At 40.3% G+C, this 18,300-nt stretch overlaps 1 protein-coding gene and 1 long non-coding RNA gene across 2 annotated transcripts in view; both read left to right on the top strand.

Annotated features, from left to right (window-relative positions):
- Positions 1-18,300, top strand: part of ASIC2 (acid sensing ion channel subunit 2) — a 1,143,682-nt gene that overhangs the window by 151,595 nt on the left and 973,787 nt on the right. The window lies entirely within an intron of this gene.
- LOC107985038 (uncharacterized) overlaps positions 17,809-18,300 on the top strand; it is a 51,924-nt gene continuing 51,432 nt past the window's right edge. The window contains exon 1 of the long non-coding RNA XR_001752840.2: positions 17,809-18,029. This is a non-coding gene — a long non-coding RNA (uncharacterized LOC107985038). The remainder of the gene's footprint in view (positions 18,030-18,300) is intronic.

Below are 18,300 nucleotides of genomic sequence, written 5' to 3'. Positions count from 1 at the left end.
ATGGAGGTTAGGTAAAGGATGTTGGAAACTTTTATGAAGATGAATCTTTTAGGCAAGGGCAAGCAGTGGGCTATGGGAGATGTGAAAGGGGGCTGTGCTCACCCCTCATCCCCTGAAAGAGAGCTGAGCACCTAATGCATAGCATTAGGTCTAGTCTAGCATCAGGCATAAGCATGAATGTTTGATGGCTTCCTCCAGAAACCTCCTGTGGTCCCCTAGCACATCACAAGAACATCATTCATGGCAGGAAGGTGAAATGCAGTGAACTTGGGAACTCTACCTCCCTACCCCCACCCACCCCTCATGCTGCCATGCTTAGAGTTAGCTATAAAGTAAGGGGTCTTTCTTGTGTGCAGAAATGCACTGTTTGCCACATGGGACATCAGAAAAGCAGGCCTACAAGGGACCTCAAAAATCATCTAGTCCAATCCCTTATCATTGAATGGGCAAGAAGCTCATATTTACTCTGCAATGGTTTAGTCTTTGTCCTAACTATATGTGGTAGGTATTGTTCTTATTCTCACTAAACAGAAGCAGAAACTGAGCCAAGAGAGATTAAGTGTCTCACGTAAGGTCACAGAAAAGGCCATGACTGCATTCAAAGTCAGGTCTCTCTGAATATAGCTCATGTCTATTCTACAGCAGCACACTATTCCTCCTTTGGAGGAGGGAACTATAGTCCAGGGAGATGAACAGTGGCTTGCCTGAAGCAAATCGTTGGCAGAACAAGAACGACAAGACAGATCGCTTAATTCCTACTGCATACCACTACTTCTTGGGCTGTTGCTAGTCTGTGTCTATTATGGGTTTGGCTCTTCACTGAGTGATGTGGTGGGAGGGGATGGTGGATGCAGAACCAAAAAAGCCTGGTTTCGCATTCCTAGATGGTTTATGATCTTCCTAAGGAGGTGGCTCCAAAGCTGGTGACCAAAATGACTAAAACAGACTTACAGCCTTCCTTTTCCTTTTCCTTTTCCTTTTCCTTCTCCCATCTCCCATACTTTACTCCTTCTCCTTTTATCAACTGGTCATCACGGCTGAGGATAAGAGATAAAGTACTCAACAAACTCTCATCCAAAGGGTCCCACCATAACTGGTAACCAGAGTAGGAAGGAATGCATGAAGGAGGTCTTTCAGGAAGGCACTCAAATCATAGATGCCAGCATTCTGTAGTCGACCTCAAGTTCAGGCATCAGATGGCCAATTGCATGCTGGCTGTTTTAAGATGCTTGTTGCATGGACATGGGCAGAAAAAAGGAAGCCAGGGAGGATTGCAAGTCAGGCCAAGTGCCAATGATACGGAAACACACAGTCTTTAGAGCCAATATCTGCTTCATGGGAGGACACAGGATAGATCTGACTGACTTTTGCTCGCTGTGGTCAGAGGCAGTGAGAGAGAAGAGCAGGGGTCTTGGGCCCAGACAGACATGGGTTCAATTTATAGCACTGATAATGTATAGCTGTGGGACCTCGTGCAGTGATTTAACCTCTGAAAGTTTTCTCACCTTTAAATGGTGAGGAAAATACTGATGTGAAAAATATACAAAAGAAAACACGCAAAGCACCTAGCCTTGCTGGAAACATCAGTTAATCATGATGATGATCATGATGATGACAATGATAATGATGATAATGGTGTTAATGATGGTGATGAAGACTGATCACAGTCTGCCCTTCTTTTTGAGAAATTTGGAAAATGAAATCTCTTTGATTCCCACTAATGCTTTAAGCTGTGTCAAGCAACAGATGGGTTGGGGAGGTGAAGGGGGATGACTCAAATATTTAGCTCCTGCTCTGTACCATCTACTACAAAAGGCTCACCTGCATACTTTTTTCTTCATCTCATTTCTCATGAGAATCCTGTGAAATCTGTCTTATCATCCATATCTTATGAATGAGAAAACTGAGGTCAAAGAGGTTAAGTCATTTTCTCAAAGTCTCATAGTAATTAAGTTACAGAGCCAGGATTTGATATCAAGACCACAGGGCCCTCTCTTTTATTGACTCGACTTCTCGTGAACTACTTGAGATAGGATTCCATGGCTTCTCAACTGTGAGGTTTTTTTGTCGTATTGGAACATTTCTGGATAAACTCTGACCCACAACCATCCCAGCAAGGAGACCAGAGCAGAAGTCCCAACAATTATACCTTGAACTGTGTTGTCTCTGATAGGCATCATTCATTCCTTTTTATTCTGCTATTATTCAAAAATTCAGCGGTGTTTATTGAGTCAGACACTACTTTTGGCCCTAGGAATAGAAAGAAGAAAGACAGGAGTGAGATTAATGATAGATAACAGCAATGTATTTGTTTGATACATTTGATAGATGTAAATCATAAATTGTATGTGGAGGTATCAGTCAGTATCCAGTCAGGAGAAAAAAACCATACCAGCTTTTTTTAAACAAAGAGAATTCAATCAAAAGAATTATTCACTAGGAATAATGAATTGTTAACTAGGTAACTCAAAGGGCAAAGAGAAAACAATAAGTTATTCCGGATACAGCACAGTTTCCCTTGGACTGAGGAAACAAAATGAAGATGTTGGAATTTTTAAAATATAGAATCTTGGAGATCAGACCCTGCAGAGCTGAAATTAAGCTCTTTGAGGAGAGCACCTTTCCTGCTGGTGCTAGTGGTTCTGAATATGTTGGAGGCAACCTGTTTAATTCGGACTTCTGAGAAGGGACCACCAACCAGTTGCTGTTGATGTTGCTGAGGAAATACAATAAAATGTGTTCTTAAATGTTGGGAAAAATCTGAAGCCTGGATCCAACTGATGCTACAGGACCAGAATACTACTTCTGGGATGGAATGCAAGACTGGCATGATGCTGCTAAGAAAAGGAAGCAGACAGAATGTTTACAGGAAGTAAATTGAAAGACAGGAATTTCTTCTTTTTTCTCCTACCTTGCAGCCTCCTTATAGTTCCCTCTGTTGGCAACATTCAACAGGAATCTGGCTGGAAAAGCAGAAATGTGGTTTGTAGAGTCCTATCACAAAACAGTGTATAGAAGGATGGGTTTGAAGTTGATAGACAATCGTGGACAAGAATAGAGACTCAAAATACTGATTGAGTTAGAGAAGGCTGCCTGGAAGGCATGGCATCACTTTCAGAGGAGAGTTTGAATCTTGAGGGATGTGAGTAGAACAGAGTAAGAGGATAAAATGTTAATGGTGACATGAGTTGTTTTAATAAATAAAAGTAAAACCCATAAAAAGACACACATAGAAGTAATGTCAACAAAATGAAGGGATAGGAGTTTTCAGAACTCATATCCTTGCAGAAACATCAATTTGAACAACTATCCATGTGCAAAAATATCTTCACAAGAGCTGAAGGAATCCAGGAGAGAGAGTACAGCACCCAAGTGGAACACAGAAATAAGAAAAGATGCACTAAACAGGGTAGAAAGGACAGTTTCACATTACCTGTGTCATCCTTCTCCTAAGCCCAGGCAATACATCATGGAGATACCCTCTATGTGGGGGAAGAAGAGTGAAGCGATCATCCATCTTTGCCATGGACCATGGCATTAGGCCTAACCCAGGCTCCAGGCCAGATCAGACAGCCCCAGCCCGGCTACAAGCCGACTCCCAGGGACTCAGGCTTCAGACCCACCCCAGTTCTCTTGAAGATCCAGACTCCAGGTGCATCTCCATGGACCCAGTTGCTAGGACCACCTCAGTGGATGCTGATGCCAGACCAGCACCAGCCCCACTGGACCCAGGGTCCAGGCCTACACCTATAGATTCAGTTTTCAGGCCTGCCCCCATGGACCCACACACCAGGCCTGTCCACACAGACCCAAACTCCAGGCCCACACCAGTGGACCAGTCTCTAGGACCTCCCACATGAGGACTCCAGCAGCAAGCCCACCCATGGACCTCATCAGATGGCCCACCCAGAACTTCTGAGAAAGTAAGCTGGTGAAGAGATTAACTTGCTGAAGCTAGTCTGTAAAGACTGAAGGAGGTACCTACATCATCAAATACAGACACCAACACAAGGCAACAAGGATTATGTATATTCATAGAAACATGATCCCACCAAATGAACAAAATAAAGCACCAGTAACCAACACTAAAGAAATGGAACTATATGAATTGCCTGACAAATAATTTAAAATAATCCTCTTAAAGAAGCTTAGTGAAGTATAAGAGAATACAGATAGAAAAGTAAACAAAATCAGAAAAACAATACATGGAAAAAAATGAGAAGTTCAACAAAGAGACAGAAAAAACACAAAAGAACCAAAGATAAATTCTGGAGCTGAGAAACACAGTAACTAAACTAAAAATGTTCATAAAGAGTTTCAACAGCAGACTCAATCAAGCAGATTTAGTGAGTTCAAAGACAGGTAATTTGAAATTATTCAAAGGAATAAAAAGAAAAAAGAATGAAATAGAGTGAAGAAAGCCTACAGGACGTGGGGGATACCATCAAGCAAATCAATATTTGCATTATAGGAGTCCCTGAAGGAGCAAAGAAAGAGTAATGGGCAGAAAGCTTATTTAATAAATGGTGACATAAAACTTCCCAAACCTGGAGAGAGTAATGAACACTCATACCTATGAAGCCCAAAGAACTCCAGATAGATTAAATATAAAGTGATCTTTGGCTGGGTGTGGTGGCTCACACCTGTAATGCCAGCACTTTGGGAGGCTGAGGTGGGTGGTTCACCTGAGGTCAGAAGTTCGAGATCAGCCTGACCAACATGGAGAAACCCCATCTCTACTAAAAATACAAAATTAGCTGGGCTTGGGGTGGCACACGCCTGTAATCCCAGCTACTTGAGAGGCTGAGGCAAGAGAATTGCTTGAACCCAGGAGGTGGAGGTTGCGGTGAGCCGAGATCGCACCATTGCACTCCAGCCTGGTCAAAAAGAGTGAAACTCTGTCTCAAAAAAAAAAAAAAAAAATAGATCTCCACTGACATATGTTATAATCAAATTCTCAAATTCAAAGGCAAAGAGAATTTTAAGAGCATCAAGAGAAAAGCAACTTGTCACATGCAAGGGAACCTCCAGAAGTGTATCAATTGATTTCTTAGCAGAAAACTTGAAGGCCAGAAGAGAGTGGGATGATATATTCAAAGGACTGAAAGAAAAAAAAAAAACAACAATAACACTTTCAACCAAAAATACTATACTTAAGAAAGCTGTCCTTGAGAAATGAAGGGGAGATAAAGACTTCCACAGACAAACAAAATCTGTGGGAGATCATCACCACTAGAGCACTTTACAAGAAATGCTGAAGAAAGTTTTTCTATTAGAAATAAAAGGACATTAACAGCATAAAAACATGAAAGTTTAAAACTCACTGTAAAGGTAAAAATATAGCTAAATCCTGAATGTTTTAATACTGTAATGGTGGTGTATAAACCACTTTTAACACTAATATAAAAGTTAAAGGAAAAGATATTAAAATAACTATAGCTACAACAATTTATTAATGGATATACAATATATAAAAGATAGAAATTGTGACATCAATAACATAAAATGTGAGAAAAGGGAAAGCCAAAGTGAAGAATTTTTGTATGTGATTGAAGTTAAGTTGTTATCAGCTTAAAATACACTGTTATACTCTAAGCTATTTTGCGTAAGACTTATGGTAACCACAAAAGTAAACTACCTGTAGTACATACAGATAAGACACAGAGAAAGAAATCCTAGCATGCAACTATGAAAAATTATCAAATCATGAAAGACGACAACCAGAGAGGAAGAAAGGAACAAAGAAACTACAAAACAATCAGAAATCAATTAACAAAATGGCAATAGTAATGCCTTACCTATTGATAATTACTTTGTGTAAATGGATTAAATGCCCCAATCAAAAGACATACAGTGACTAAATGGATTTTTTTTAAAGACCCAACTATATGCTGCCTACAAGAGATTTATTTCAGCTTTAAGATCACACATAGGCTGAAATTCAAGGGACAGAAAAAGGTATTCCATGACAATGGTAACCAAAGAAAAGCAGGAGTAGCTCTGCTTATATCGGACAAAATAGATTTTAAGTGCAAAATGGTTGCAAGAGATGAAGAAGGTCATTACATACTGATAAGGGGGTCAATTAATCAAGAGTATATAGCAATTATAAATATATATACATCCAACATTGGAACACCTAAATATATGAAGGAAATATTAACAGAACTAAAGGGTAAAACAGACAACAACATTAGTAGGAGGCTTCAATATCCCACTTTCAAAAATGGATAGATCATGAAGACAGAAAATCAATGTGGAAACAACAGACTTGAACAACACTATAGACCAAATGGACCTAACAAACATACAGAACATTCCATCTGACAGTAGCAGAATACATATTCTTTTCAAGTGCACATGGAACATTCTCTAGGATAAATCAAATTACACTATAAAACAAGTATTAACAAATTTAAGAAGATTAAAATCATATTCAGTATCTTTTTCAACCATAGTGCTATGAAATAAAAAATCAAAACCAGCAGGAAAAGTGAAAAATTCACAAATATTTGGAAATTAAACAACACATTCTTAATAACCAATGGATTAAAGAAGAAATAAAATGGGAAACCAAAACATATCTTGAGAAAAATGAAAATGAAAACACAACATACCAAAACTTATGGGATACAGAAAAACACTGCTCTAAGAGGGAGGTTTATAGCAATAAATGCCTACATTAAGACAAAAGAAAGATTTTAAATAAACAAGCTAACTGTATACCTCAAGGAACTAGAAAGGAAGAACAAAGTCCAAAGTTAGCAGAAAGAAGAAAATAATAAAAATCAGAGCAGAAATCAATAAAGCAAATGAGCAAAACAATGAAAAATATCAATGAAACTGAGTTGTTTTTTAAAAAGATAAATAAAATTGGCAAACCTTTAGCTGGACTAAGAAAAAGAGAAAACTCAAATAAAATTATAAATAAATAAGATGTTACAACTAATACTGCAGAAATACAAAGGATCATAAGGGAGTACTATGAGCAATTACATGCCAATGAATTAGATAACCTAGGAAAAATGAATAACCTTCTAGGGAACATACCATCTACCAAAACTGAACCATGAGGCAACAGATAATCTGAACAGGCCAATAACAAGAAAGGAGATTGAATCAGTAAACAAAAATCTCAGAACAAAGAAGAGCCTGGGACCTGATGGCTTCACTGATGAATTCTAGCAAACATTTAAAAAATAATTCAATTATTTAAAAAATAATGCCAATTCTTCTCAAACTTTTTCAAAAAATTGAAGAGAGAAAAACACTTCCAAACATATTTAATGAGGTCAGCATTACCCAGATACCAAAGCCAAACAAGAACACTACAGAAAGGAAAATCACAGACCAATATCCCTAATGAATGTAAAGCAAAAATCCTCAAAAAAAAAAATTAGCAAGCCAAATTCAACAGCACCTCAGAAGGATCATATACTGTGATCCAGTGGGATTTATCCCTAGGATGCAAGGATGATTCAGCATACACAAATCAGCAAATGTGATACACCGCATTCACAGAATGAAGGATAAAAATTATATGATCATCTCAATAGATGCGGAAAAAGCATTTGATAAAATTCAACATCCTTTCATGATAAAAACTCTCAACAAATTAGGTATAAAACTATAACTCAATACAATAAACACCATATATGAGAAGCCCACAGGTAGCATTGTATTCAATGATGAAAAAAATATCTAAAAGAAATAAATGTAGAGCCAGGCATGGTGGCTCACACCTGTAATCCTAGCACTTCAGGAGCCCAAGGCTGGCCGATCGCTTGAGCTCAGCAGTTTGAGACCACCCTGGGCAACATGGCGAAACCTTGTCTTTACAAAAAAAAAAAAAAAAAAAAAAAAAAATTAACCGTGCATGGTGGAAAGTGCCTGTAGTCCCAGCTATTTGGGGGTTGAGGTGGGAGGATAGCTTGAGCCCAGGAGGTCAAGACTGCAGTGAACCGAGGCTGCACCACTTCACTCCAGCCTAGGTGACAAAGTGAGAAACTGTCTCAAAAAGAATAAAAATAAAAATAAATAAATAAATTTAGGAAACAATACCATTTACAATAGCATAACAAATACTTAGGACTAAATTTAACAAGGAGATGAAAGATTTTTGCACATAAAACTAGAAAACATTGATAAAGGAACTGAAGACACAAATAAATGAAAAGATCTCATGTTCATAGGTAAGAAGAATTACTATTGTAAAAATGCCCATGCTATCCAAAGTGATCTATAGATTCAGTGAAATCCCTATCCAAATTCCAATGGTATTTTTCACAGAATTAGAACAAACAACCCTAAAATTTACATGGAGCCACAGAAGACCCTGAATGGCCAAAACAACCTTGAGCAAGAAATACAAAGCCAGAGGCCTTGGACATCTTGATTTCAAAATATGCTACAAAGCTATAGTAACCAAAACAGCACAGTATTGAAATTAAAACAAACATCTAAACCAATGTAACAGAATAGAAAGCACAAAATAAACCTCTGCATTTTTTATCAATTAATTTTTGTCAGAGGCACCAAGAACACACAATGGGAGAAGGACAGTCTTTGTTCTTTCCCAGACTGTGTTGGGAAAACTTGATATCTACATTCAGAAGAATGAAATTGGACCCTTATCTCATACTATGTAAAAAATTAACTTGAAATGCATTAAAGACTTAAACAATGATACTAGAAACTGTAAAAGTGCTAGAAGAAAACATAGGAAAAAAGCTTGTTGGTGTTGGCCTAGGCAATGACTTTTTTGGCTATGACCCCAAAAGCAAAGGTAACAAAAGCAAAACTAGACAAACGAGATTGCATCAAACTAAAAAACTTCTGCACACAAAGGAAATAATTGAAAGAATGAAGAGGCAACCTACAGAATGGGATAAAATATTTGCAAACCATACATCTGATAAGGGGTTAATATCCAAACTGTGTAAAGAACTCACACAACTCAATAGCAAGAAAACAAATAACCTGATTAAAAATGGTCATAGAAACTAAATATGGCATTTTTCAAAGGAATACATACAAATGGCCTAAAGGTATATGAAAAAAAATGTTCAACATCACTAATCATCCAGGAAATGCAAATAAAAACCACAATAAAATATTACCTCATACCTGTTAAAATGGATATTATAAAAAAGATGAGAGACAATAGGTATCGTCAAAGATATGGAGAAAAGGAAACCCTTGTACGCTGTTGGTGGGAATGTAAATTGCTACAGCCATTGTGGAAAACAGTATGGTAGTTCCTTAAAAGATTAACTCTTTTGATCCAGCAATCCTACTTCTGGATATATATCCAAAAATAGGTAAATAAAATCTGTATGTTGAAGAGATATCTGTACTCCTGTATTCATTGTGCATTATTCACAATAGCTAAGATATGAAACCAACCTAAGTGTCCATCAATGGGTGAATGAATAAAGAAAATGTGGTATTTTATTTATACACAATGTGGTATATATACGTGCATTTGTGTGTGTGTATATACACACACACATATATACACGCACAGATTGTGGTTTATATGCGTGTGTATGTATATACAAACATATACATACACACATATGTATATCACATGGTATGCCGGGAATATATACAATTTTTCTTCATCAGTTGTTCTTCCATAAAGCTGGAATAGAATAAAATAAGAACAATTTTTTAAAAAAGACACATACACATACATACACAGAGAAAAGAGAGTGTAGTTCATTATGGAAGGAGCCAGGGTACATGCCAGAGAGTGAGGAGGAGATGAGGTAGAAGAGGTGGGTAAAGGATGGACAGGGGAGACTCTCCTTCTGCCAGGTTCCAGGTCTCAAGCCTTGAAGGTTAAGAGGTCAGGATTGGACTTTGTGTTGAGGACAGGAAAAGGGCCTAATTCACCCACTTGCCCAATTTTATCCACCCAATTGTCCTGTGAATAAGACATTGTTGTCTCTACAAATGAAGAAATTTATCAGAGAGATAAAATCTCCCTGCCATGCTTCACAGCTCCAGTGGGAGCTGTTGGTGTTACTGTCTACAGGGATGACACAGCCTGGTGTTGTGTGGGATTTGAGCTTCATGGCCATAGGTACAGTCCTGGATGGAGGTCATGCAGCTAGTAGGCAAGCTAGTTATGAGAAATGTGGAGTCCTCTAACACATCTCAGGATTTCTTTGATGTCCCCAATGCTAGGAAGGGTCTATATGTGAAAAGTTGAAATCATACATATAGATCACCTCCTTGAGAGAGCAATATTTGAAATCTCATCTCAAGAAGCACCGTTTTTTTTCTGCATTGTCCCCAATCCTTCAGAATACTTGGGTCAAATAGGCCAATCTGGGATCAGTAAAACTTCCTAGTAGGTGTAGAATCATCAGTTTCCCCACTCCAAAGTCTATGAGTGTCTGGTACCAAGGGCTTCCCTAATCCTTTCTAGTGGGTTCACAGTCAAGAAGACCACTAGATACCACTGGACCTTGAGGGTCAGCTACTGATTTCTCAGCTTGTTTGGGAGTTTGCAAAATTCAGTCCTCGGTGCCTGCTACAGCTAACTTCGCACGTTGCTGTCACTTGTTATTAGGCGAGAAAAAATACAGGCCTGCTAGCAAATTCTCATTTAAGGAGAAATAAAAAACACATTGGGTCTGGCTCACTTAGGGAAAGAGGCAATTACTGAGTAGATATTGCCTAGTGTACCTCATGACTTAGGGACCCACAGAGGAGTGGTCAGGAAATTCATCTGGCCCTACAGCGTGCTGTGACTTCTGACGGTCTACTTTGGTCATGTCCAAGTGACACCGTGCCGTGTTCCTCATGGCACCATGCATCATTCCAGGTGGGTGACATTTGAAAGAACATTCTTTGCATCCTGTGCCTAATCCATTGGTGATTTACCACATGGCTCTTCTTATAATTTGGGAAACTTACCCATAGTCCTTTGCTGGCAGCTGACACATATTGAGCAATATACAAGTAGTTATAGCAGCTTTAGATCCTCTGGGGCACGGGACCCTGATACACCAGCCTCAGACAGCTCTGTAATAGGCTTGAGCTGGCCCCTTCATTTGATGAAATATTTGCAAAGCAGGGGAGAACTAAGGTGATAGGAGCTTAATCTAATACATGTCTAAGTTTGGAGCGCTGTTCTGGGCTCTGGAGATACACAGGCAAAAAAGACACATTCACTACTCTTTGGGGTTCCCTAATCTGGTTGGAAAGACAGGTTGTATATAGAAAAAGATCAGTCACTGTGGAAGGCAGACACATGCCAAGCAAGAGGCAGAGACAGTAAGTTCATTTTTAACTGAAAAAGCCCGTCCACAGCATCTAACCAGACTCCATCATTTTCTGAGGAAGAAAGTGAGGATCAGAGAGGAATGTGACTTGACCAAAATGAATGTCTACTGAGGGGGCAGAACAGACACTAGACTAAACTATCACAGTTCAGTTCTCTCCCACTTCCAGTACATGATACCAAACACATCCAGATGTATCCATTTATGTGCTACCCACTTCATTTTCTATAGGCAGAACATGTGGCTCAGAGAAGCTAAGTGGCTTGCCAAATTTTCACAGCTATGAATTCTAGAGCTGGAGCTTCAACTCAGAGTCTGTTTCTCCTTGATCTCTCCAGCCATCAGCCAGACACACTGGCAAAAGCCTCAAAGAACTTCAAAGAAGAGGCAGTATTTGTGCTGGTCCTTTAAAGAGAGAAAAATAACAGCCATGTGGCTGTGCAGGGAGGCGCATGGCAGTAGAGGAGAGTGGGGTCATGGGCATGTACCAGTGACTTGTAGGCTGAGGCTGCTGTTCTCTTTTGGACAAGTCAAGATGCTGTCTCTTAAATGGCTACCTAACTAAATCATCATTCTGGACATGTGCCAAAAAAACTGAAACCATACCAACTGGGGAGGAGTACCTCCTTGTAACCTTACTGCTTAATTACAGGGAAGCTACCAATCTACCAATGAAATTATATTTCTGCTTGACTTTCAGGCTCCCTGAATTAAAGTGGTAGGCAGTCATGGGCACTGGAGCACTGAGGCTGGGTGTTATGGTGGCCATGATTAGTCCAGGAACTTTTCTAGATCAGTGATTCTCAAACATGAAATCATGTGGGCATAGAAAATACTGATATCCAATACCCACTCCAGGACTTCAGGATTGAGCTGTGGACTGGGCACCAGGTAATTTTAACATACAGCCAGGGTTTCAAGCCACTGCTCTAGTTGTATACCTCTCATGCAAGCTACTCGGGACACTTTCTAACTCATGTATACATAGCATTCAGCCTGCTTGAAACCCGTCAGTACCCAGGTTTGCTGACTCTGGTCATTCATTTATTCATCAAATCTCAACTACGTTCTTATTACATCCTAAATGCTTGGCAGTGGGGATATAGTCAGTGATGTGTTGGTGAATATTTAACAACCAGCGCTGTGGGAAGAAACAAATCCTGATTTGTAGTGTTTGCCGATTTCTCTGTTATAAATATCCCCACCATGACTGATCTCAAGCTGCCAACATAGAGTCCACTGAACTCAGGGTTTGGAAGAAATGCAGGTAATTGGCTTTTGCGAGCCAATGTGAGTTAGCTCCAACACACTTGTGGATAGAGTGAATTCACCCCGCACCCTTAAGGTAAGCAGAGACTCTTTGGGAAAAGACACATGTGTGCACAGTTAACTGAAATCCCAAATGAAGGCTGTTGGAAGGAAAGAAGTAAATTCAGCCTGGCAGGGTCAAGGAAGCTGAGTTTCGATGAATGAATTGCTCACGAGAGACAGACCTTAGAAATCAATTTTCTCAGGTGTCCCCTTTTGTTTTTCTCTAATGGCTTCCAAATACCCATGATGTCATCGACAGCCAGTCAGCATCTGACTAGGCTGAGCTAGCTGGTATTATGCACTGAGAAGATATAATTCTGCCCAAAAGGAGAGATATCAGAATTTTACTTAGTCTATGCAGCGTTAGATCAGCAATACAGATGATTCCATCAGTTATCTTAAAGTATGGTGGATAGCTTGTGGGTCTCTAGTTCAAACCACCAAACCGGTCCAGTTCTATCACAGTAGGTAATGAGAAACTGAGGCTCAGAGACACCAAGTGGCTTGGGCTGGCTGCTTGAAGCTGGCATGAGAAGCCTGGCACCCTGCCTCCCAGGGCAGTGTTACTACTCTGCTACTGGGCCAATCTTAAAGATCAAACACCTCCTGGACAACCTTTATTAATATACTAATATGAGGAACACCAGTTCATTTGCTTTGAACAAAAGGTTATGGGCAGAAAGGAAATCCAATCTTGTGTCTAAATTGCTCCTAATAAGCCCACAATTGTCAGCCTCAGTGATGATCCTCTCAGGCTGTAATTGTGTGAAAAATGGATACATTCCTATAACCAAGGAAAAACCAAATCTGCCCCCACTGGGTAGTGGTTAATAATCTCATTAAGTTATTAATGAAATTAGCAGAGCCTCCTGCCTTAGTTGGTGGGGAATATCAGGTGCAGTTATTTTGTGGAACGTTGAGAAAGCCAACAGTGCATTGCCTTGGGGAATTCTTCCTGCTGGTTGATGGTCCCCTGGAGGCCAGACCATGTGGTTAGCTCTAAGCCTCCTGCCTACGTGATATGATCAAGGATGCAGCAGACCCTTACTCCATGCAGAGGAGGTGCTGGGCCAGTTGGGGCCAATTTAGGAGTATTTGTATGTGCACATGTAGCCGGTGGCAGGATAGATTGGGGGAATCTGGATTTAAGGGTTCATTTAAAAGACACAGTGGTAGTGTAGAAAGAGAACTTGACTGGGAGTCAGGATCCCTGGCACTTCATCCTGGCTCTCCCCAGCAGGGTGACTTTGCATGAGTCACTTCCCCTCTCTGATGTCTTCTCTTTATCAGTAAAGCAAAAGAGGGGTTTGACTTAGTTGAATCTATGAATATTTTCTCTGACTCCATCATCCTCATCTTTTCAGTGGCTACTCAAGACTCAGTTAATAAGGAAAAGATATTTTTCTTCTCACATGTCAACACCAAGCTTCACACCCATAAACTCATAAAAATCCAGATTGATGTTTTTATTATAGCAGTCAGCCCTAGTTAACTACTTCATCTACAACCCATGTGGTTTAGAAGCTGTTTGAGTTAGAAGCTAGAGAATTTGATGCTTCCAGATCTGCAATTCTTTATCCCCTACTCTCTTTACTGCAATAACCTAAACATTTGGAGTTACAAGTTTTGTTAGAGTTTCTTGTCTTTGAATGATCATCTTTGAACTAATAATTAAGTGTATGTGATTATTCATAGTTCATTTATTTGAAATTTTTTTATTTGTGTTTAATGCTGTGGGAGAGATGTTAGTGTTTCAGTTATTTCCTCTCCAAATCCTCTAGGCAAAATTCATCACTCCCTCCTTGGTGCACCCTTTATGCCTCTTGCATAATTCTTCTCACATTGCGCTTTGCTTGGTTTTTCTATATGTCCATCCCTCCAAGAAACTGTGAGCCTTTCAGGGAAAGAACTACATCTTCTTCATCTCAGGGTCCCCATTTCCACTGTGTCTGGCTCGTAAATGTTTGTACAACTAAATTGAGTTGTGCTCCTTGTGGGAAAACAGAAGAAGCCAACTAACTTAACATTTATCTTCAGTGCTTGTTGGTCTTTGACAGGACATTTTCCTCCAAAAGGTAATTGATCTCAACTGTGCTTATGTTTCAGCCATTTCCTCTAGTCCTTTGCTTTCCAAATGTACAATATTAGCTCTGAGGCCAACTCCAAGACTCGATCCCAATTGCCTGATGAATATTAAAATTTTTTTTTAAAGTTAGCATTTGTTGAGCATCTATCTGTTGCCAGACAATTTTCTATGCCTCAATCTTTAAAGCAACCCTGTATCTGTTTTCCCTTTTAGCAGGTGAGGAAATGGAGGCACACAGAGGTCCTGAAATTTATCCAGTCACACAGCTAGTAAGAGGCAGAGCTGTGACCAGGCCTGTCTGGCTCTTTGGACTTATATACTGCTGCTTCTCTGGATGGCCAGATGTAAAGTCAAGCTCAACATACATCAGATCAAATTCCCCACCTTCACCCTTAAGCTAGCCCTTCTTCTCTCATTCTTTTGCATTCAGGCACTAGGTCAAAACCTCAAAGACAGCTTGGGCTTCTGCCTCTCTTTCACTCCTGCATGCTAATTATGCACGAAGGGCTGACCAGCTGTCCTTGTCAATATCACCGGAAGTGCCTCTTTCCCCTTCTTCCCACTGCTGCAACCCTAGACTGGGCTCAGTTCCTTCATGCTTAGTTTCCTGCAAAAACTCATTGGTCTCCAGGTCTCCTGTGTGCCTCTTTAAGTTGTCCTTTTCTCTCCTGTTAATACGAGTTTTCTATATTTGAATGTTTCATTTTCTTGATCAAAGTCTCTGCAGTGACACCTTGTACAAAATTAAGCCCAAACTTCAAGAATGAGAAAAAAAACAACAGTGTCATTTGAGTCTCTGGTAATGGGCTAGGGATTTTAATTGTGCTATTCTTATCTAATCCTCAAAAGTAGGTCTTTTGATTTCACTGCTGAGTCAACTGAATTACCTGTTAAAGGTCTTAGCCGGGAAGTGGTGGGTGTGGCACTGGGACCAAGGCGTGCCTACCACAAAAGAGTATATTCTCTCCACTCCTGTTTGCCTCCTTAGCCTGATACCAAAGAAACCCTTGGCAGTCTGGCCCCGATCTCCTTTCGTGCACTCTTTTCCAATTTCCTGGAAATTAGTCCATTTCCAGATGGGCCAAGTCCCTCTGTTGTGTAAGCACCTCGGTCACCTTTGCCGTGTCCTTCTGTTTGATATCACACCTCCCAATCCTGGAGGCCTGCTTTCTCCACTGAGCTTAAAACCTGCCAGTCTTTGGATGCTTAATTGAGATTTCTTGTCCCCAAGGGCTTTCTTCTTCATCTCTAAACTCAAAAAACCTTCCCCAGCTCTTGACCTTACCATCATTCCTACTCCTTTACCCTTCACTGGTGTGACTCTGTTTAACATCATGTCTCACTAACAAGAAAAAGGGCTTCAAGTTCAGACAGATGTGGGTTCTGTTTTAGGTTGGGTTCCCCAGAGTCAGTTTCTGAATAGTGAGAATTCTTGTCTGAGTGATTTATTAAGGAGAAATTGCAGGAAAAATAAATAAGGAAGTTGTGGAAGGTGGGAGGAGGGGCATAGAAGTGGAAGAAGCCAGGCAAGGGAACAATTTGGGGCAAAGTTTTGGCTCAGCCTGACTCAGAGCTCTAGAGTATAAATTACATGTCTGCTTTTGCCCCTGCTCTGGGCAAGGTTGCTGGGCTTTCCTGCTCCCAACCAGTCACTGTCTAAGAGTCACCAGGGATAGGGGGATAACTTAGCTCCCAGGTCTTGATAGCTCTCTGGGAGCAATGGCAAAGTGGATCTAGGAGCTTCAGGGCAGGCCTGTGAGGAGAACACTAGGAAGAGGTCATTAGATTAGAGGCAAAAACTAACCAAAACAACAACAACAAAAATACAGCCCCTGGAGGAAAGGCAAGCAGAAATGGTAAAGAGGAATGGGAGCAACTTAGGGGAAAATCAGCAGCATCTGCTAAGGGTCGATGTATTAGTCAATTTGCACACTGCTGATAAAGACTGGGCAATTTACAAAAGAAAGAGGTTTAATGGGACTTACAGTTCCACATGGCCGAGGAGACCTCACAATCATGGCGGAAGGCAAGGAGGAGCAAGTCACATCTTACATGGATGGCAGCAGGCAAAAAGAGAGAGCTTGTGCAGGGGAACTCCTCTTTTAAAACCATCAGATCTTGTAAGACTTATTCACTATCATGAGAACAGCATGGGAAAGACTTGCTCCCGTGATTCAATTACCTTCCACTGAGCAAGGAGGTAATAAAGGGACTGGCATGTAGCAATCATTCAGTAAATGTTAGTTGCTTTCCCTGGAAAGTGCCTTGTATTTTATATGTGTTTGCATGTATACCACACCATACTATATTATACGATTCACAATTACACTATTATATTTCTAAATGTGTTACATTCATTCTGTCTCAGGTCTCTTATGTATGCTCTTCCTCCCAATCCCTTCTAGCCTAATGCACTCTTACTCTCCTTTAAATCTCACTCCAGATGCCACTTCTTCCAGGAAGTTTTCTTTGATTTCCAGGCTAGGTCACATTCCTTCCTGTCTCCCTCACAAATTACATGCTGTCAAAAGACCTTAAACATTTTTTATTTCTTTAAGCTCTTATTACTGTTTATTATTCTGAATATACCTCTGTTATTTTTATTAAAATATGTCTCATCTGCATTAGAAGAGATTGTCTTTTTTATCATGTTATTTCTTGAGCCTAATGATTTATTGAATAAGGAAATGAATGAGTGAAAGCATGGGTGAACACAAATGATAAGTCAGTGGGCATTAGAGCAGAAACCCTGGTCATTCCTTGGCACTTTCACCTAACAGTGCCTCAGTAAATGCTTTCTGGTTCGTTGGTTGGTTGGTTGGTTGGTTAGTTGGTTGGTTGGCTAATGGGTTAAATGATACTGGAATGGGATTTCTAGGCCTGTGTCCTAGTCCAGGTTTATTTCTGATTGTGTGTGTTCAGCAAGTCATCATCTCCTCTGCATCTCAGGTTCCCCAGATTTCAAATGAGGTGACTGAATATGACGGTCTCCAAGTGCCTTCTTGGTGCCAGTCCCTAGCTGCCCAGCATGGATCATCTGGGGAAGCTGTGTGGGAAAGTGTTGCTAGGGATTGCAAACAGAAGTCTGTAAATTGCACTCCCATCCATAAAAGGGTTCTCATATATCAGAGTGCTGGGAGACAGATGCAAAGGCTGGGGCAAGACTGCTGTGGAGCACTGGGTGCACCTAAGAGGGAAGAAGGAGCTGGATTTGGCACTGAGCACCAGAGCATAGTGAGGTGGTCATGGGAGCAGCCGAGTTGGTTCAAAACTGCACCTTGCCTGACTTTTTTCCCCTGATTCTGGCCTAAGTACTGCTCTACAGCCATGTGACCTGGGTAAGTTAATATGCTATGTAACTTTTTAATTGCCTTAGCTTCCTCATCTGTAAAGTGAGGTCCATAGGGTTCTAGGAATTAAAAGCCTTAATGCATGTAAAATGCTTAGATTAATGATTGGTGTATAGTAAAAACTCAATAAGCAGTAGCTATTATTGCTATTCTATGGCCACTGCTAATGAGGGAGACACTCTGGACAGACACACAGCTCCCAAGTCTCTGATTCCGTACCTTGGCATTTGAAAAATGCCATTTTGTGAGCTTTGCCACA

Source organism: Homo sapiens, chromosome 17 (genome assembly GCF_000001405.40).
Source record: "Homo sapiens chromosome 17, GRCh38.p14 Primary Assembly".
Lineage (NCBI taxonomy): Eukaryota > Metazoa > Chordata > Mammalia > Primates > Hominidae > Homo > Homo sapiens.
Note: the sequence above shows the minus strand (reverse complement) of the source record. Positions and strands in the feature narration are given on the sequence as shown.